This window comes from Homo sapiens, chromosome 22 (genome assembly GCF_000001405.40).
Source record: "Homo sapiens chromosome 22, GRCh38.p14 Primary Assembly".
Taxonomy (NCBI): Eukaryota; Metazoa; Chordata; class Mammalia; order Primates; family Hominidae; genus Homo; species Homo sapiens.
Genome location: NC_000022.11, coordinates 25048650 through 25064382, shown reverse-complemented (window position 1 = coordinate 25064382; position 15733 = coordinate 25048650). Strand labels below are relative to the sequence as shown.

At 49.2% G+C, this 15733-nt stretch overlaps 1 protein-coding gene across 6 annotated transcripts in view, besides 1 other annotated feature; it reads right to left on the bottom strand.

Annotated features, from left to right (window-relative positions):
• KIAA1671 overlaps positions 1 to 15733 on the bottom strand; it is a 244733-nt gene that overhangs the window by 133066 nt on the left and 95934 nt on the right. For all 6 annotated transcript variants that reach the window (NM_001386933.1, NM_001386932.1, XM_047441556.1 and 3 more), the window contains one exon: positions 15019 to 15153. In NM_001386933.1, coding sequence (NP_001373862.1) covers positions 15019 to 15153 — 135 coding nt within the window. The remainder of the gene's footprint in view (positions 1 to 15018; positions 15154 to 15733) is intronic.
• Positions 2220 to 3134: an enhancer, noted in NCBI's record as "H3K27ac-H3K4me1 hESC enhancer chr22:25457216-25458130 (GRCh37/hg19 assembly coordinates)". NCBI's record gives its function as "activates a minimal SCP1, AML or CMV promoter by ChIP-STARR-seq in naive H9 embryonic stem cells {active_cell/tissue: H9 hESC(naive)}" and the evidence as "EXISTENCE:reporter gene assay evidence [ECO:0000049][PMID:30033119]".

Genomic DNA, 15733 nt, shown 5'->3' with positions numbered 1-15733 from the left:
AGTAAGGGCTCAACACATCTTATGCGGGGTGCAGTGGCTCACGCCTGTAATCCCAGCACTTTGGGAGGCCAATGTGGGTGGATCACTTGAGGTCAGAATTTTGAGACCAGCCTGGCCAACAGAGCGAAACCCCGTCTCTACTATAACAAAAATTATCCAGGCATAGTGGCACATGCCTGTAATCCCAGCTATTCGGGAGGCTGAGGCTGGAGAATTGCTTGAACCCAGGAGGCAGAGGCTGCAGTGAGCCGAGATTGCGCCTCTGCACTCCAGCCTGGGTGACAGAGCGAGACTCCATCTCAAAAAACAAACAAACAAACACAAAAAACAAACAAACAAAACAAACAAAAAAAATCTTAGCTGTGAGTGCCTGGTCGTGTTAGGGAAGCAGGCGCCTGGTAGAGCCAGAGTAAGGCCATGTTCAATTCGACTCCATCTTAAGACTAAAAAGCCACATTCCTTGCTGGTCACAAGATAGTCATGGGATGTTTACAGTTGAGGAAACAGCCTAAAGATACCTACAAGGACGTACTCCTACATCAGCACAGAGTCCAGGTGTCCCAATACCCATAACAGTATGTGCTTGCAAGATAATTATAGTTACGCTTCGGTATACTCACACACTAAAATGTCAAGGATGGTTTTTGTTTTGCTTTTCAAGATTGTTTTATATTTCAATAATTTTGGGAAGTACAGGTCGTTTTTGGTTACATGGGTGAATTCTATAGTGATGATTTCTGAGATTTTCGTGCACCCGTCACCCGAGCAGTGTGCACTGTACCCAATATGTAGTCTTTCAACCCTCACCCACCTCCCAACCTTCCCCCCAAGTCCCCAAATTCCATGATATCATTCTTATGCCTTTTCATGCTCATAGCTTAGCGCCCACTTGTAAGTGAGAACATATAATATTTGGTTTTCCATTCCTGAGTTACTTCGCTCAGAATAATGGTCTCCAGCTCCGTCTAAGTTGCTGCAGAAGACATTATTCCCTTCCTTTTTTGTGGCTGAGTAGTATTCCATGGTGTATACATACGTGCCACGTTTCTTTAAATCAATAAAGTAATCAATTTTGTCATGCCGTGCGCTCACCTGCAAGTAGACACAGTTTAGCTTAGCTTTTACATGGACAACACTCCTCTATAAGAAAAACTTAAAAACAAACCCGGGCGGTGGGTCCTCCTCTCACTTTCTGAGGATGCTCTACTCTGTAACAGGGTAGCTTTCAATCAACCATCCCTTCTTACTGCACTCCGGAACTTGCTTTGAATTCCTTCCTGTACGAAATCCGAGAACCCTCTCTTGGGGTCCGTTTCAAGACCCTCTTCTCTGGTAACAATGGCATATCCACTTCAGCCCCCTTGGCTAGCAGAGCAATAAGAGGGAGCCCAAACTGGGGCCAGCCCATCAGAAAAGGGGGTTATCTGCCCCAAAAAAAGGCATCTCTGAGCCAATCCCAGGGCAGAGCCAACCCACAGAGCCCTTAAGAGTGTTGTCAGCTGCAGCACATTTGAAATCACTGAAAACACACAACTAGGGAGTGGCGGGTGGCGGGGGGCGGGGGTGGGTGCCGGTTGGGAGGGGGGGAACAGCAAACACATTTTCCATCCTCTCAGTTCCCAGCCTGACCCAACAACTGCCCTCCTGGCCCCAATCGGTTCTCTCCACCATGCGGAGGGGCAGATGGGGTAGATGGGGTCAGCGAAGACAGGACCCAGCAAGAAGCAGCAGCCCAGTCGAAAAGCCTGAAGTCCTGATACAACCAACGCAGATGCGTAAAAAAAATGCCGTGCTGCGTGAAAGGAGCCAGACACAACAAAGCCATGCTGCATGAGCCCACTGACAGGAAATGTGCAGAAAAGGCAAGACTGCAGAGACAGGCCGCAGACGAGTGGCTGCCAGGGGCTTCCGCTGGATGGGGTGGGGGCTGGGGGGAGTGCCTGCTAATAGGTACAGTGCTTCCTTCTGGGGTGAGGACAATGTTCTGGGCTAGAGAGTGATCCCTGGGCAACTTGGTACATTTACTAAAAATTGCTGTACACTTCAATCGAGTGAATTTTATACTCTGTAAATTATACTTCAATAAGCTATTGGAGGAGGAGGAGGAAGAAGAAAAAAGAGGAGGAGGAGAAAAGAGAGGAAGGGGTAAAGGTGGAAGAGGAAAAGGAGGGGGAAGAGGAGGAGGAAGAGGAGATGGGCCCAGTGCAGTGACTCAGGCCTGTAATCCCAGCACTTCACGAGGCTGAGGTGGGAGGATCACTTGAGCCCAGGAGTTCAATACCAGCCTTGGCAACATGGCCAGACCCTGTCTTGATTTTTAAAAAGAAAAAAAAAAGTGCAGAAGGAGGAGAAAAGGGAGGAAGAGATAAAAATGGAAGAGGAAGAAGAGGAAAAGGAGGAGAAAAAACAGGAGGAAGAGAAGAGGGAGGAAGAGAAAAGGGAGGAGGAAAAGAAGGAAGTGGAGAAGGAGCAAACCGTGCCAAGGGATGAGAAAAGAGGGAGAAGCAAGCTAGAAGGTCTTGCCTGGGCATGCGCAGGGCCAGCAGCGCCTACAACCTGGCTGGAGCGCTCCCTCCCCACTCAGTCAGTGAACATGATTAAGCCCTACCAGGAGCTGGGAGCGAAGCTGCTGGGAGCAGGGATCTGCACTCAGGTAGGCCTGGGGTTCAAATCCCAACTACAGCCCTGCCTCACACTGTCATCCAGGACAACCTGCTTCTCTTCTCTGTGCCTCGGTTTCTTCAGACATAAAATGAGGCTGAGAATAACAACAACAATCATGATAATTTCCTCCCTCACAGGATGGCAGTGAGGCAGAGGTCAGATGATATGAGAAAAGCACTCAGCAGGCTGACTGCAACTGCTCAATCAATGAAGGCCCTGAGGATAAAGTGTGAAGCATTAGGGACATGAGTGAGGCAGGATTCTTGCCCTCAGCGGGGCTCACGGTCTGTAAGAGAAGCACTTGGGAATAAATTACAGCACTAGAGGCTAGAGGGCCTGGAATGGAGGAGTTCACAGGATAGGGTGCAACCCAGGAGGGCTTCTTGGAGAAGGTGGCACAGAACCCAGGCTTGAAATATGACAAAATGTCCCTATTCTCAAGAGACCTCGAGTTCAAGTAGAAGATTCAGCATCTCTGGAAATACATCTCCTTAAGAGAAAAATGCTGTTTCTATAACCATAAGTTTCTCACTATAGGCTCGGCTATCCATACCCCACGCTCTTTTTTACAAATAAAACAAAAACAAAATTTTTTTTTCCCAAAAAATACTTTCTCCGGAAGAGAAAATATCATCCATGAAAATAAATGGGGCAGCCAGGGCTGTGAAGGCTGCAGAGGAACATCCTAAGCTCAGCTGGGCAGCTCTGATGTCAGGTTCACAAAATAGAAACTGACATGGGGCCCAATGGGGACAGAGCACAGTGACACATCTACCGAAATTAGTGGGCTGCATGAAAAGATGAAAATCTAAGTGGTCATGGAAAATTTGGATGTTTCAGGTTTAGAATGGAGGCCCGAATGTAAAACGGCTTAAAAGCAAATTAACGAAATGTGGAAAATAGACCGTCTCCATCCTACCCTCTTGTGGTCATTTCTGAATGATGCACAAGAAAACCAGTGCCTTGTTTCACCTGGGAGGAGAATGAGGCAGGTAAAACAGAAACTGGCGGCCCTGGATTGAGCCCCCACCTGTGCTACCTGCCCAGTGTCGAAGCCTGGGCCAAGTCAGTTCGTTTTGCCAACCCTCAGTTTCCCGTGGGTCTCCCAGAGTTGTGGCAAGGATCCAGTGAGATAACAAGTGTGAATAACAAGACCTCTGATACCCAGAGTGTGAACCGAAGGCAGCTAGAATGTGGCCTGAGCACATGGTGAGATGTCACATTGAAATCAGGATTGGGCCAGGCGCGGTGGCTCACACCTGTAATCCCAGCACTTTGGGAGGCCGAGGTGGACCATCACATGAGGTCAGGAGTTTGAGACCAGCCTGGCCAACATGGCGAAACCCTGTCTCTACTAAAAATACAAAAATTAGCCAGGCGTGATGGTGCACGCCTGTAATCCCAGCTACTCAGGAGGCTGAGTCAGGAGAATCACTTGAACTCAGGCAGCAGAGGTTGCGGTGAGCCAAGACCATGCCACTGCACTCTAGCCTTGGCAACAGAGCAAGAGTCCATCTCAAAATAAATAAATAAATAAAATAAAATCAGGATCATCAGTTCTGCTTGAAAAACTGGACGATCCAACCAACATTCTGGGCAAGGAAGAGCTGGGATGCAAGGGAAGCTCCTTCCTCCCCACCATTTGTCACGAAATCCCCATCCCTGCCTGGCCTGGCTTCCGGGCACAGCTCCCGATGCAGAATCCCCGGGAAAGGGCCTGCAAATCCGGGTTCCAAGCCCCAAGGTGCCCCGGGTGCCTTGCAGGAGGCCTGGCATTTAGGAATCCCCAGATCAGGGATTTCTGAGGCAGTTTGGAAGGGACTTTGCCCTCAGAATTCTGCCCCCAACTAAATTCTCCATTTTCCCTCTGAACCCTTCTCTCTGCTCAGTGATGAGTGGGCACCCTGAGAGTGCAGGGGTCCCCTCCCAGGAACTACATGGGAGGGGCAGCAAGGTACTGTTGCCACACAAGCTGTCCAGCCTCCCGGCCTTGTGCAGACTGGTACCTGGGTTACCCTTCCTGCCCCTCCCTCCGCCTGGCCAAACTACTCCCCTGTCAGGATCCAGGGCAAGATGAGTCTTTCTAGTTCCCCTGCCACCAGGCCAAGGAAGAGCCAATTACTCCCTCCTCTGTCGGGTTAGTTTGTTGTGCATCTGTCTGTTGTGTGTCTGTTTCCCTTCCTCGGCTGTGAACTCACTCACTCCTTCATTCAACAATTTTTTTTTTTTTTTTTTTTGAGATGGAGTCTCACTCTGTCGCCAGGGCTGGAGTGCAGTGGTGTGATCTTGGCTCACTGCAACCCCTGCCTCCTGGGTTCAAGTGATTCTCCTGCCTCAGCCTCCCAGGTAGCTGAGATTACAGTAGCTGGGATTACAGGCACCCACCACTACACCCAGCTAATTTTTGTATTTTTAGTAGAAACGGGGTTTCACCATGTTGGCCAGGCTGATCTTGAACTCCTGACCTCAGGCGATCCTCCCACCTTGGCCTCCCAAAGTGCTGGGATTACAGGCATGAGCCACCATGCCTGGCCCCTCACTTAAAAAATATTCACCTAGCTTCAACTCTGCACTGAAAACACAAAAGTGAACAAGAGCTTCAAGAGCCCTACAGTCCTGCAATTCTTGTTTGGTGGGGGAGGGATAAGAAGTCAGCAAACAGCCTCCACCCTGATGAGGGAGGCAGATATCAGAAGGACACTGCACATGATAATGGGGGTGCTGTGAGGGAATAATGGGGGCCCGGGCCTTATGCAGAGGTGGTGTCAGGGAAGGCCTTGCCCAGGGGTGACATCTGAGTTTAGAGAGGTCCTGAGAAGAGGCCTCACTCAGGTGCTCTGGTCATCAGTCCCAGGAGCCCAGCCTTCGAGTCATCCCAGCCCGGGCACCAGACGTAAGTGATGAGGCTTCCAGATGATTCCTGCCCCAGCTGTTCAGGGCTCCCAGCAGAGAAGAGCTGTACCCACAGAGCCCTGCTTGGCTTCTTGACCTGCGGAATCCATGACCCTGTTACACCCCTAAGTTCTGTGATGGTTCATTATAACAACAGATCACCGGACCATGGAAATTACTTCTCCTCTTCTACTCTTTAGGCTAACTCGTTTTTATATAAACAACTCATCCCCACCCAGACACACACACAAGGCCCTAGAGCAGCAGTTTCCGAACAGTGCCGTATCCCCCGGGGATCTCTAAAAAATACTGACACCCAGACAATAGGGGGGAATCCTAAAAATACCTGACCAAGACTATTCAAGATTGCCAGGCTCATGAAAAACAAAGAAAAGTCTGATACTACATCCTGGATGGGACGTAACATTAAAACTGAGAAAATCGGAATAAACTATGAACTTTATTTAATAGGAATGTATCAGTATTGGCTCATTGATGGTAATGAACATACCATGCTAAGGCAAGGTGGTGATGACAGTTGGAAACTGGGTGTGGGTGTATGGGGACTCTCTGTACCATCATTCCAATTTTCCTGTAAATCTAAAACTGTTCTAAAAAGTCAAGTCTATTTAAAAAACACTGATGCCCAGGCCCTGCCCCCATGCATTTAGATTTAATTTCTGGGATGTGACCTGGGTATCTAAGTTTTGAAAATCTCCCTGAGTGAGTTATTTCCATTTCCAGAAGAAGAAATCTAGGTTCCAACTGGTGGGGCTGCATCTGGAATCTGGATCCTTCATCACACCCTGAAGTCTTAAACTTGCTTTTTCCATAACTCATGTCTGCCACAGGGTGCTAGGATGGATTCTATTCAAAGGAGGGATGAGGCTGGGTGCGGTACCTCATGCCTGTAATACCAGCACTTTGGGAGACCCAGGAGGGTGAATAGCTCAAGCCCAGGAGTTTAAGACCAGCCTGGGCAACATGGCGAAACCCTGTCTCTACAAAAAATACAAAAATTAGCCAGCATGCTGGCGCATGCCTGTGGTCCTAGGTACTTGGGAGGCCGAGGCAGAAGGATCGCTTGAGCCCAGGTCCAAGCTGCTGTGAGCCATGATTGTGCCACTGCACTTCTGCCTGGGCAACAGAGTGAGACCTTGTCTAAAAAAAAAAAAAAAAAAAATGCCCAGCAGAGCGCACTGGACATGTGACGTTACCCTTTTGGGCCTCCGTTTTCCTGATCTGTGAGATGGCGGCAGTGCGTTGTGAGCTAATGGGCTAACAGGTGGAAAAGGTTCACTCTCCTGGGTCTCCTTCCAACAGTGAGGGGAGCCTCTAGAGCCCGCAATCCCACGCTGTTCCACCAGGGGACGCGCGCACGCCAGGATGCTGGCCTACTCCACAAGGGAGGCTTTGCAAGGAACAGGTGTCCCTGTCATTCACTCATCTCTCTCCTGCGGGCCGGTCGGCATCCAGCTGGGGGCCCTGCGTGGCCTTGGTCCCTGGGAGCCCACAGAGCCCCGGAGCTCCAGGTGGCACTGCTGAAACCGAAGCCAGCCATCCTTCTTCCACCTGGGGATCCTGCCCCACTAGAGACACCCTTTCTCCTCCCAAGTTGCAAGGGCTAAGTCCACAGGTCTGGATTCAATCCAGCCATCATTGTTTCTTCACTGCATGTTGCGGGGCCAGTCACCTCCCCTCTCTGAGCCTCAGGTTCAGAATCTCTTAAATGGGCATCCTCTTGGCACTTCAGAATATAGTGAAGTCACTTAGGGGAAAAGTGCCAGGAAATGGAACTTCATGTAGAACGTGGGGAGTATGAAGACGGATAATGGGATGGTGTTTGCACAGTGCTTAGCACAGCGTCTGCCACATAGAAACTCAGTGTCTAACATAGTCACAGCAACAATAGCCAACACTTACAAAGCACCTACCAGGTGTCAGGCACTGTTCATCGCACCTTGTGCATAGGAGCTCATCTCACTTCACTGCCTTTTTTTTTTTTTTTTTTTTTTGAGACAGAGTCTCACTCTGTCACCAGGCTGGAGTGCAGTGGCCCGATCTTGGGTCACTGCAACTCCACCTCCCGGGTTCAAGCGATTCTGCTGACTCAGCCTCCCGAGTAGCTGGGATTACAGGCATCTGCCACCATGCCCAGCTAATTTTTGTATTTTTAGTACAGATGGCATTTCACCATGTTGACCAGGTCTTGATCTCCTGACCTCATGATCCACCCCGCCTCGGTCTCCCAAAGTGCTGGGATTACAGGAGTGAGCCACTGCGCCCGGCCACTTCACCGCATTTCTAACAAGTAGGCTCTGTTATAATCCCAGTCTCAGAGATGGGGAAACTGAGGCACGGAGATGTCAATCCACTCAAAGTCACATAGCTGGTAAGTAGCAGAGTTGGGATTTAAACCCAGGCCATCTGGCTTAGGATATGAGCTCTTTTCTGTATTCATCTCACACTTCAATTTTAAAAATCCTTTTCCAGGCAACAAAAGAAAAAGTTGGGCGTCATCAAACTTCATCAAAGTTATAAATTTTGTGCATCAAAGAACATTATCAAGAGAATGAAAAGACAGCCCACAGAATGGGAAAAAAATATTTGCAAATATCTGATATGGGATTAATATCCAGAATATATATATAAAATATTCCACTGGGCGTGGTGGCTCATGCCTGTAATCCTGGCACTTTGGGAGGCCAAGGTGGGAGGAACACTTGAGTTCAGGAGTTCGAGACCAACCTGGGCAATATGGCAAAACCCCGTCTCTACCAAAAATACAAAAAAAAAAAAAAAAATTAGCTGGGCATGGTGGCACATGCCTGTAGTCCCAGGTACTTGGGAAGCTGAGGTGGGAGGATGGTTTGAACTCACGAGGTGTTGCAGTGAGCCGAGATCATGCCACCGGCACTATAGCCTGGGCAACAGAGCCAGATCCTGTCTGTCTGTTTGCCTGTCTCTCTCTCTATATCTGTATCTGTATCTATATCTATCTATATCTATATCTATATCTATATCTATCTATATCTATCTATATATATGTTTGTGTGTATGTATTCCTACAACTCAACAACAAAGAAAAAACAATCTGATTCAAAAATGGGCAAAGGACTTGAACGGACATTTCTGCCAAAAAGATATACAACTGGTCATTTGGCATATGAACAGATACTCAAAATCATTAGTCATTAGGGAAATGAAAATAAATATCTCAATGAGCTACCATGGCTAATTTTTAAATTTTTATTTATTCATTGTTTTAGAGACAGGGGTCTCACTATGTTCAGCCCAGGCTGGTCTGGAACTCCTGGCCTCAAGCAATCCTCCTATCTTGGCTTCCTGAGTCACTGGATGACAGGCATGAGCCACGGCGCCCAGCCCACAACTTGTTTTTTCAGTCACAACCTTTGATGAGTTACTTTCAGCAGTCCTTGTGTGGTCTTTCATTTTGATTGTTTCCTTCTCATTTGGACTCGCTGTCAACCAACTGAAATCTAGAGGGAATCTCTAACTAGCAGCCAGGATATGTTCTTGGGCGGGGGCCACCTCACAAGTTCCCACTTATTTCAAGTTGATTACACTCACAAGGACTACCACTGCTGTCAGCAGAATCCAAATGTTCCTCCCCTCCTTTTTCCAGTCTTAATAACAAAGTCATCAGGTCCAAATGCTCTCAAACCTCTCAACCTTTGCCCTGGCAGATCCTGCGTACAAAGATGCTGGCATGACGATGACACAGCACCAGCCTCAGAAGCAAAGGGCCACAGTTTCACCAGTTAGAGATGTGGGAAAGTCTGAGCTCAGTGTAAAACCAAACACTGCGGGTGTCCAGGAGGGTCACGTGGAAGTCAAGTTTAAAGGACCCCAGATGACATCCGTTGTATAGAGCACAATTTCACGCCTCTAAACCTCTGCCCATGCTGTTCCCTCGATCAGGGGCAAACCACTGTTCCCCAGACCATAGTTACCTGGCAAACACCTGCTCAGCCTTCAAGACTTAGAACTCAGACTCTTTGGTCTCGAACTCCTGCTTCTCAGCTAGCCCTCCCCAAGTGGAGACACCCCCTCCCTCCTCCAGGGAGACTTTACACAAATTCAAATTAAATTAAAGCACATGACATGATGCCTGGCATATAGTAAATGTTCAATAAACAGTAGCTATTAGGGAGCTTCCGGATACCTGAACACAGGGAGGTTCCTGGAGGGTGGCGTGCCCAGGGAGGGCATGGAAGCTCTGCACTCCCTCCCCCATACCTCACCCTACGCATCTCTGCTTCTACAGCTTATCTTTTGTAATAAACTGGCAAACGAAGAGGAAGAGAGACCAGAGACATCTACCTATCACCCACCTCCCACCCTGCATACACAGAAGAGGCTACGCAAAGACAAATGAAGGACACAGCTGTCAGCCACGGAGAGGAGCCTCATTAGAAGCCAGCCTTGCTAGCTCCTTCATCTTGGACTTCTAGCCTGTGTATCTGTGAGAAAGCAAATTTCTGTTGTTTAAGAAAAAAAAAGAAAATTAGCTATTAGAACCCACTGCAATTATTTACCTACCTTCTTTTTTTTTGAGATGGAGTCTCACTCTGTTACCCACGCTGGAGTGCAGTGGCGAAAACTCAGCTCACTAAAACCTCCGCCTCCCGAGTTCAAGCGATTTTCCTGCCTCAGCCTCCTGAGTAGCTGGGATCAAGTGATTCTCCTGCCCCTCAGCTTCCTGAGTAGCTGAGATTACAGGCACGCAACACCACGCCAGTCTAATTCTTCTTTTTTTTTTTTTTTTTTTTGTATTTTAGTAGAAACAGGGTTTCACCATGTTGCCCAGGCTGGTCTCGAACTCCTGAGCTCAGGCGAATCGCCTGCCTAGGCCTCCCCAACTGCTGGAATTATAGGCGTGAGCCACTGTGCCTGGCCTATTTACCTACCTTCTTAATTGTCTATGCCTTAGTCATAACTGTAGCCCACTGCCCAGCATAGCACTTACCACATGCAGATAAATATTTGTCAAAAAAAGGAGCAAAATCCCTAAACACTCTACCTCAGCCCAACTGGTCCTCCAAGCACCCCCCTTTGTCTGTGTGAGTTCTCAGTCCCAAATGTCTCCCCTCCTACTTCCTGCACCTAACTGGACCCTCCCAGGTCATTTTCAGACCCCTGGGCTGTGAACTCCAGGAGGCTGACGGAGAAAATCTCCAGGCCCCATCATGCAGGGCCTGGCGCATAGTAGGCCCAAAAAGAAATAAACTCAAGAACCAAATGAGCCAGCATATGCTAACCAATAGGTTTCAGGGATTGGGAGAAAATTCTAGAGACTACCAGAGGCCCTCCCGCTGGCCCATTGCAAGGAAGCCTCCCAGCTGATGAATCTCTGACTTCATCGTCACAAGATGGGCCTCCAGGGTAAACTGTGACTCGAGGTCACAGTCCACAACTGAGTCACTGTGTTTTATGGTCCCTGTGAAAATGCAGACCAAAGCTCACTTCCTGGGGAAAAGAGGAGAGGGAGGAAGCCTGATACAGGACTTGGATTCGCCATGTGGACTCGAGGTCCTGAGGGGAACCCTGAAAGTAACAAGGGAGATGGGGAGAAACAGAGAGCACTGGCCAAGGAGTCACAAAGAAGAACTCCAGCCCCAGCTCTGCCTCTAGAGGCCACAGGACCATACACAAGACACTTCCCTACACTGGGCCTGTCTCCTCAACTGCAGAAAAACTTCTAAGGCTATGGATGTTTGTCTTTCCCATCAGCTCTTTGGGAGAGCATAGAAAAAAAACCTGGCCGCAAATAATAATAAAATAATAATAAGCCGGGTGCAGTGGCTCACACCTGTCATCTCAGCACTTTGGGAAACCAAGGCTGGCGGAAAACTTGAGGTCAGGTGTTTGAGACCAGCCTGGCCAACATGGCAAAACCTATCTCTACTGAAAATACAAAAATCAGCCTGGTGTGGTGGTGCACGCCTGTAGTCCCAGCTACTCAGCAGGCTGAGGCACGAGAATCACTTGAACCCGGGAGGCAGAGGCTGCAGTGAATCGAGATTATGCCACTGCACTCCAGCCTGGGCGGCAGAGTGAGACTCCATCTCAAATAATAATAATAATAATAGCTGCTATGATTTGTGAAGCCATTTCTCGGTGTCAGGCACTGTGCTAAGAGCTTTGTAAGCATCATCTCATTTGGGCTCTGTCCTCCCACCGGGCTACCACGTAAGACGAGTGGAAAGTTCAGCAGACACTTAAGAGCATGGACTGCAGACCCAGAACTTGGAAGAGACACTTAATGGCTCTGAGCCTCAGTTTGCCCATCTGTGAAGTGGAAATAATAGCAGTATCTACATGACATGTAACGATAGTAAGTGTTAGGCTTTGTTATTGCTATCACTATCCACTTTATAGAGGAGGAAAAGTGAGGCCCTGAGTGGTAAACTCACTTGCTCAAGGCCTCTAGCAAGTGGCAGGGTCTGTAGTTCAGCAACCATGGGCAGGGCTATGCAAATCAGCAGGGCATTGGCCTGGCAGGTCCCAGGCACCCTCTGCAAGACAGCAGCAGCACAGCAGCTGATGGCCAACCCCGGGCTGAGCAAATATCACATTCTCAGCTCCAGGAGGAGTCCCAGGGCTCAGGGTGTCTTGTTTCCTCATGTAGCTAATGCACGGAGTGCTGCAGGCCCAGGAGAGAGAGGAGCTGGCAGGGGCTGGCAGGGGTTGGCCATAGGCCAAAAGCACAGGCCCATGGCGGGAAGGGCCTGGGGCCAAGGCTGGAGTGAGATAGGCCCCGTTTCCATTCCAGCTCCCCCAGCAGCTGTGTGGCCTTGGGCAAGGGGCTGAAGCATTCTGAGCCTCACTTTCCTGCTCTGCAAAATAGGATTCATGGTCACTAACATGAGGCTGAAGTAGGAATTGGCAAGGCCTGAGAGGCTCAAAAAATGAAGATGAACATGAACTTAAATGGGAAAATAACAGCACAAAGTCATTCATCAAAGCAGTGATGGGAATCATAGCAGACACAGTGAATCCCTTCAAACACCTCATGAGACACAAAATGCATGTATGACCAATTTCCAGAGGAGCAGGGACAGCCACCAGGGGCTCAGGACCCCAGCCCTCCTCTGCTGGGTCACCCTGGTTAAGTCAGGTCCTCTCTCCTGGCTTCACTTTCCCCTTTTATAAAAAGAGAATTGGACAGGTGAGAAAAAAAGCAGAGGAGAGGAAGGGGAGGAGGAGGATGAGAAAGGGAAGGGAAAGTAGAAGAGATGGAAAGGATCAGGAAAGGAGGAAGGGAAGAGGGAGAAAGAAGCAAAAGCTACCACTGCAGTTGAGACATTGAGAATTTACTATGTGCTGGGTGATCTCATTTACTACTCACAAAAATACTCTTGAGGTCATAGAGAACTATCCTTATCTTACAGAAGAAAAAACTGATATTTAGTGACGTCCATGAAGTCACTTGCCCAAGGTCACACAGTGGCAGAGTTGGAACTTAAAGCCACTTCTTTCAGCCTCCAGAGCCCAATACTAAAAGGTCCCTCTAGGATGGGCTGTTGGAGGCACCAGGATAGGAGCTGAACACCACCTCCTCCTTGTGGCCACTCCCCAGAATTGCAGGTATGAGTCCCAAAAGCAGGGAAATGAGGTCTGAGGCCCCAGCACTCTCCGGTTCATGCTAAGTCCCTCCACCCACCTACCTCTGAGGAGAGGAAATCAAGCAGGCAAGAGTGGGGCAGGGGCCTCAGAGGCCAGAAGGAAAGAGCCAAGGCAAGCTGCCCGAGGACTCCAAGGACAAAAGCTCTTCAATGACAGAGAGTGAAAGAGGAGGAGCAGGACGGCCAAGGAGGATGCCAGCAAGCAGACTCTAAAAAGACAGGTTTAAAATGCTTCTCTCCCATCACCTTTGTCTTCACACACACACTCATAAAAGTTCAAGTACAATCAGATAAGCTAAGTCAGAGCTATCTGAGAGGGACTGGAGAAATAGCTGAGAAAGAAGTCAATGGAAGGGAATGTTTATCAAAAAATCCAGGCAGGTTTCAAATGTGTGTGAATCTTTGGCTAGGATCTGGATCCTCGAGGAAAATTCCTGGGCTGCTCAGTAAACACCTAGCTGGGATCTGAGTTCCTCCCCGGCCCGTCTCCCTCAGCCCCACAGTCGGGCTCACGTTGTGGCTGTTCTGCATCACTCCTAGCACAAACCATGCCAGGGTATCTTCTTTACCCCCATTTTACAGAAGTGGAAACTGAGGTTCAGGAAAGCAAAGTTTCTTGCCTGTGGCCATAAAACTGGAAGGGATGGACTCTCAATGGAGCTTCAGCACAAAATCATATGTCTCCAAAACGTGAGACCAGGCCCAGGTATCCCTGAAGCTTGTGGAGCTGAGCAACCAAAGAGGCCTTTGTGGGCAGAAGTGTCGCTGCCTTAGGAGCCCTGTCTTCGATGCCCCTGTATAGGACCTGGGCCGGAAAGGGGCTTCATGAGCAAGTGCAAAACTCCAAACAGCATGGAACTAAAGTCCGAAAAGAAACTCACTGGAGGTGGCGAAGCCCTGGAACCCATGTGGGCACACTGAAGCTCTGAATGGGACAGCTGTCCCTGGGGCCTGCTCAGTGTGTACTCACCTCCTTTCACAAGTAAGGAAACAGGATGAGGGGGAAGAGGGCACAAGGACACAGAGATAAGCAAGAGCCAGAGGGAGACTTGAAAACAAGGACAGTCGTACCAGTAACAGCAAGAGTAATAATTATGTGACGATGACACTTATTGTTTGCTATGTACCCAGAAGCATGCTAAGCACTTCATGAATTCTCTCATCTGAGCCCCACATCAGCCCTGTAAAGTAGATACTATTATTATCCCCATTCTACAGATGAGGAAACTGAAGCCAGAGGCCAGCCCAAGGTCACACGTGAATGTATGCAGATCCGGGACTTGAACCCAGGCAATCTGGCTCTGGAACCAGCTTTCTGCTGCCTCCTGTTATCACCATAACTGTCAGTTCCTAAATGTGTTATGACGTGCTGGGCCCCACACACACTTTTATTCCATCCTCGCAACACAGCTAGATAGGAATCAAGATCCTGTTTTCCAGGTGAAGAAACTGAAGTGCAGCGAAATTAAGTAAATTGCTCAAAATCTCAAAGAGGTTGACAGGAGACCGTGCTGGGATTGGAACCCAGGACTTTCCAACACCAGTCTATGTTCCCTTAACCACTCCATGCCAGGCAGTGCTGGGCTGGAAACTCAAGAGGAAGAAGGTTTCCCCAGCAGAGCCACCAAACACCCTCCACATCAAGAACCACAACACAGCTAGTCAGGTGACACCAGATTCCTGGACAGTTGCCTGCTGCCCTCAACCCCGTCAGGGCCCTGGGCTGTCCAGATGCTCCACCAACCACATTCACAGCAGTGTCCAGCAACCAGCACCCCTGTGCAATCCTCTCCAGCCATGTTGCATCACTCACCACAAAGGGCCCACTCCTCCTGTCTTTGCAGAAGCTGTGGCTTCTCCAGGGAACCGAGGCCACAGGGGACACCTGCTGGAGCGGTCGCTCCTTCTCCTGGGGGGCATCCTCCTTCTCCAGGTCCCGTGGCAGCACCTGAAACACAGAGCACAAGAAAAGGACTTTACTGGGAGCCTTCTCATTTACAGGAAAAAATATATTATGCCAAGAGTCCATTCTGTACCAAAAAGGGCAAAGAAGAAAATTAAACCCCCAGAAATCCCCCACTTTAATGATCAGAGGTAACATGTAGGGCGGTAGCTCTGGGTTCCAGTGGCCCAGCCTCAGCCATTTAATAACTGTGTGACCTCAGGTGGGTGCCTCAACCTCTCTGAGCCTCAACTATCTGGGAAAGGAACCCCATGATGACAGCACCCAGCTTCTAGGCGCTAAGAAACAGCACATGGAATGTACATGATGCAGTATAGCCACCAGGGGGCAGACGTGCACAAGTCCTGGGCACCTGGCTTGGCTTACCCTAGCCTCCTCCATCCCTGGCACCTGGGGAGCCCTCCATAAATGCTGGCTGGCCTCATTACTGCCAGTGGTCATTCTTGGTGACCTTATTTTAATCATCTCTTTATGCACCCAAACACACATGCATAGACACAGAGAAACGGTGCATGAACAGCACAGCACCTCCAGTACATCTACTTGGAATCCTGCTGTTTTTTTC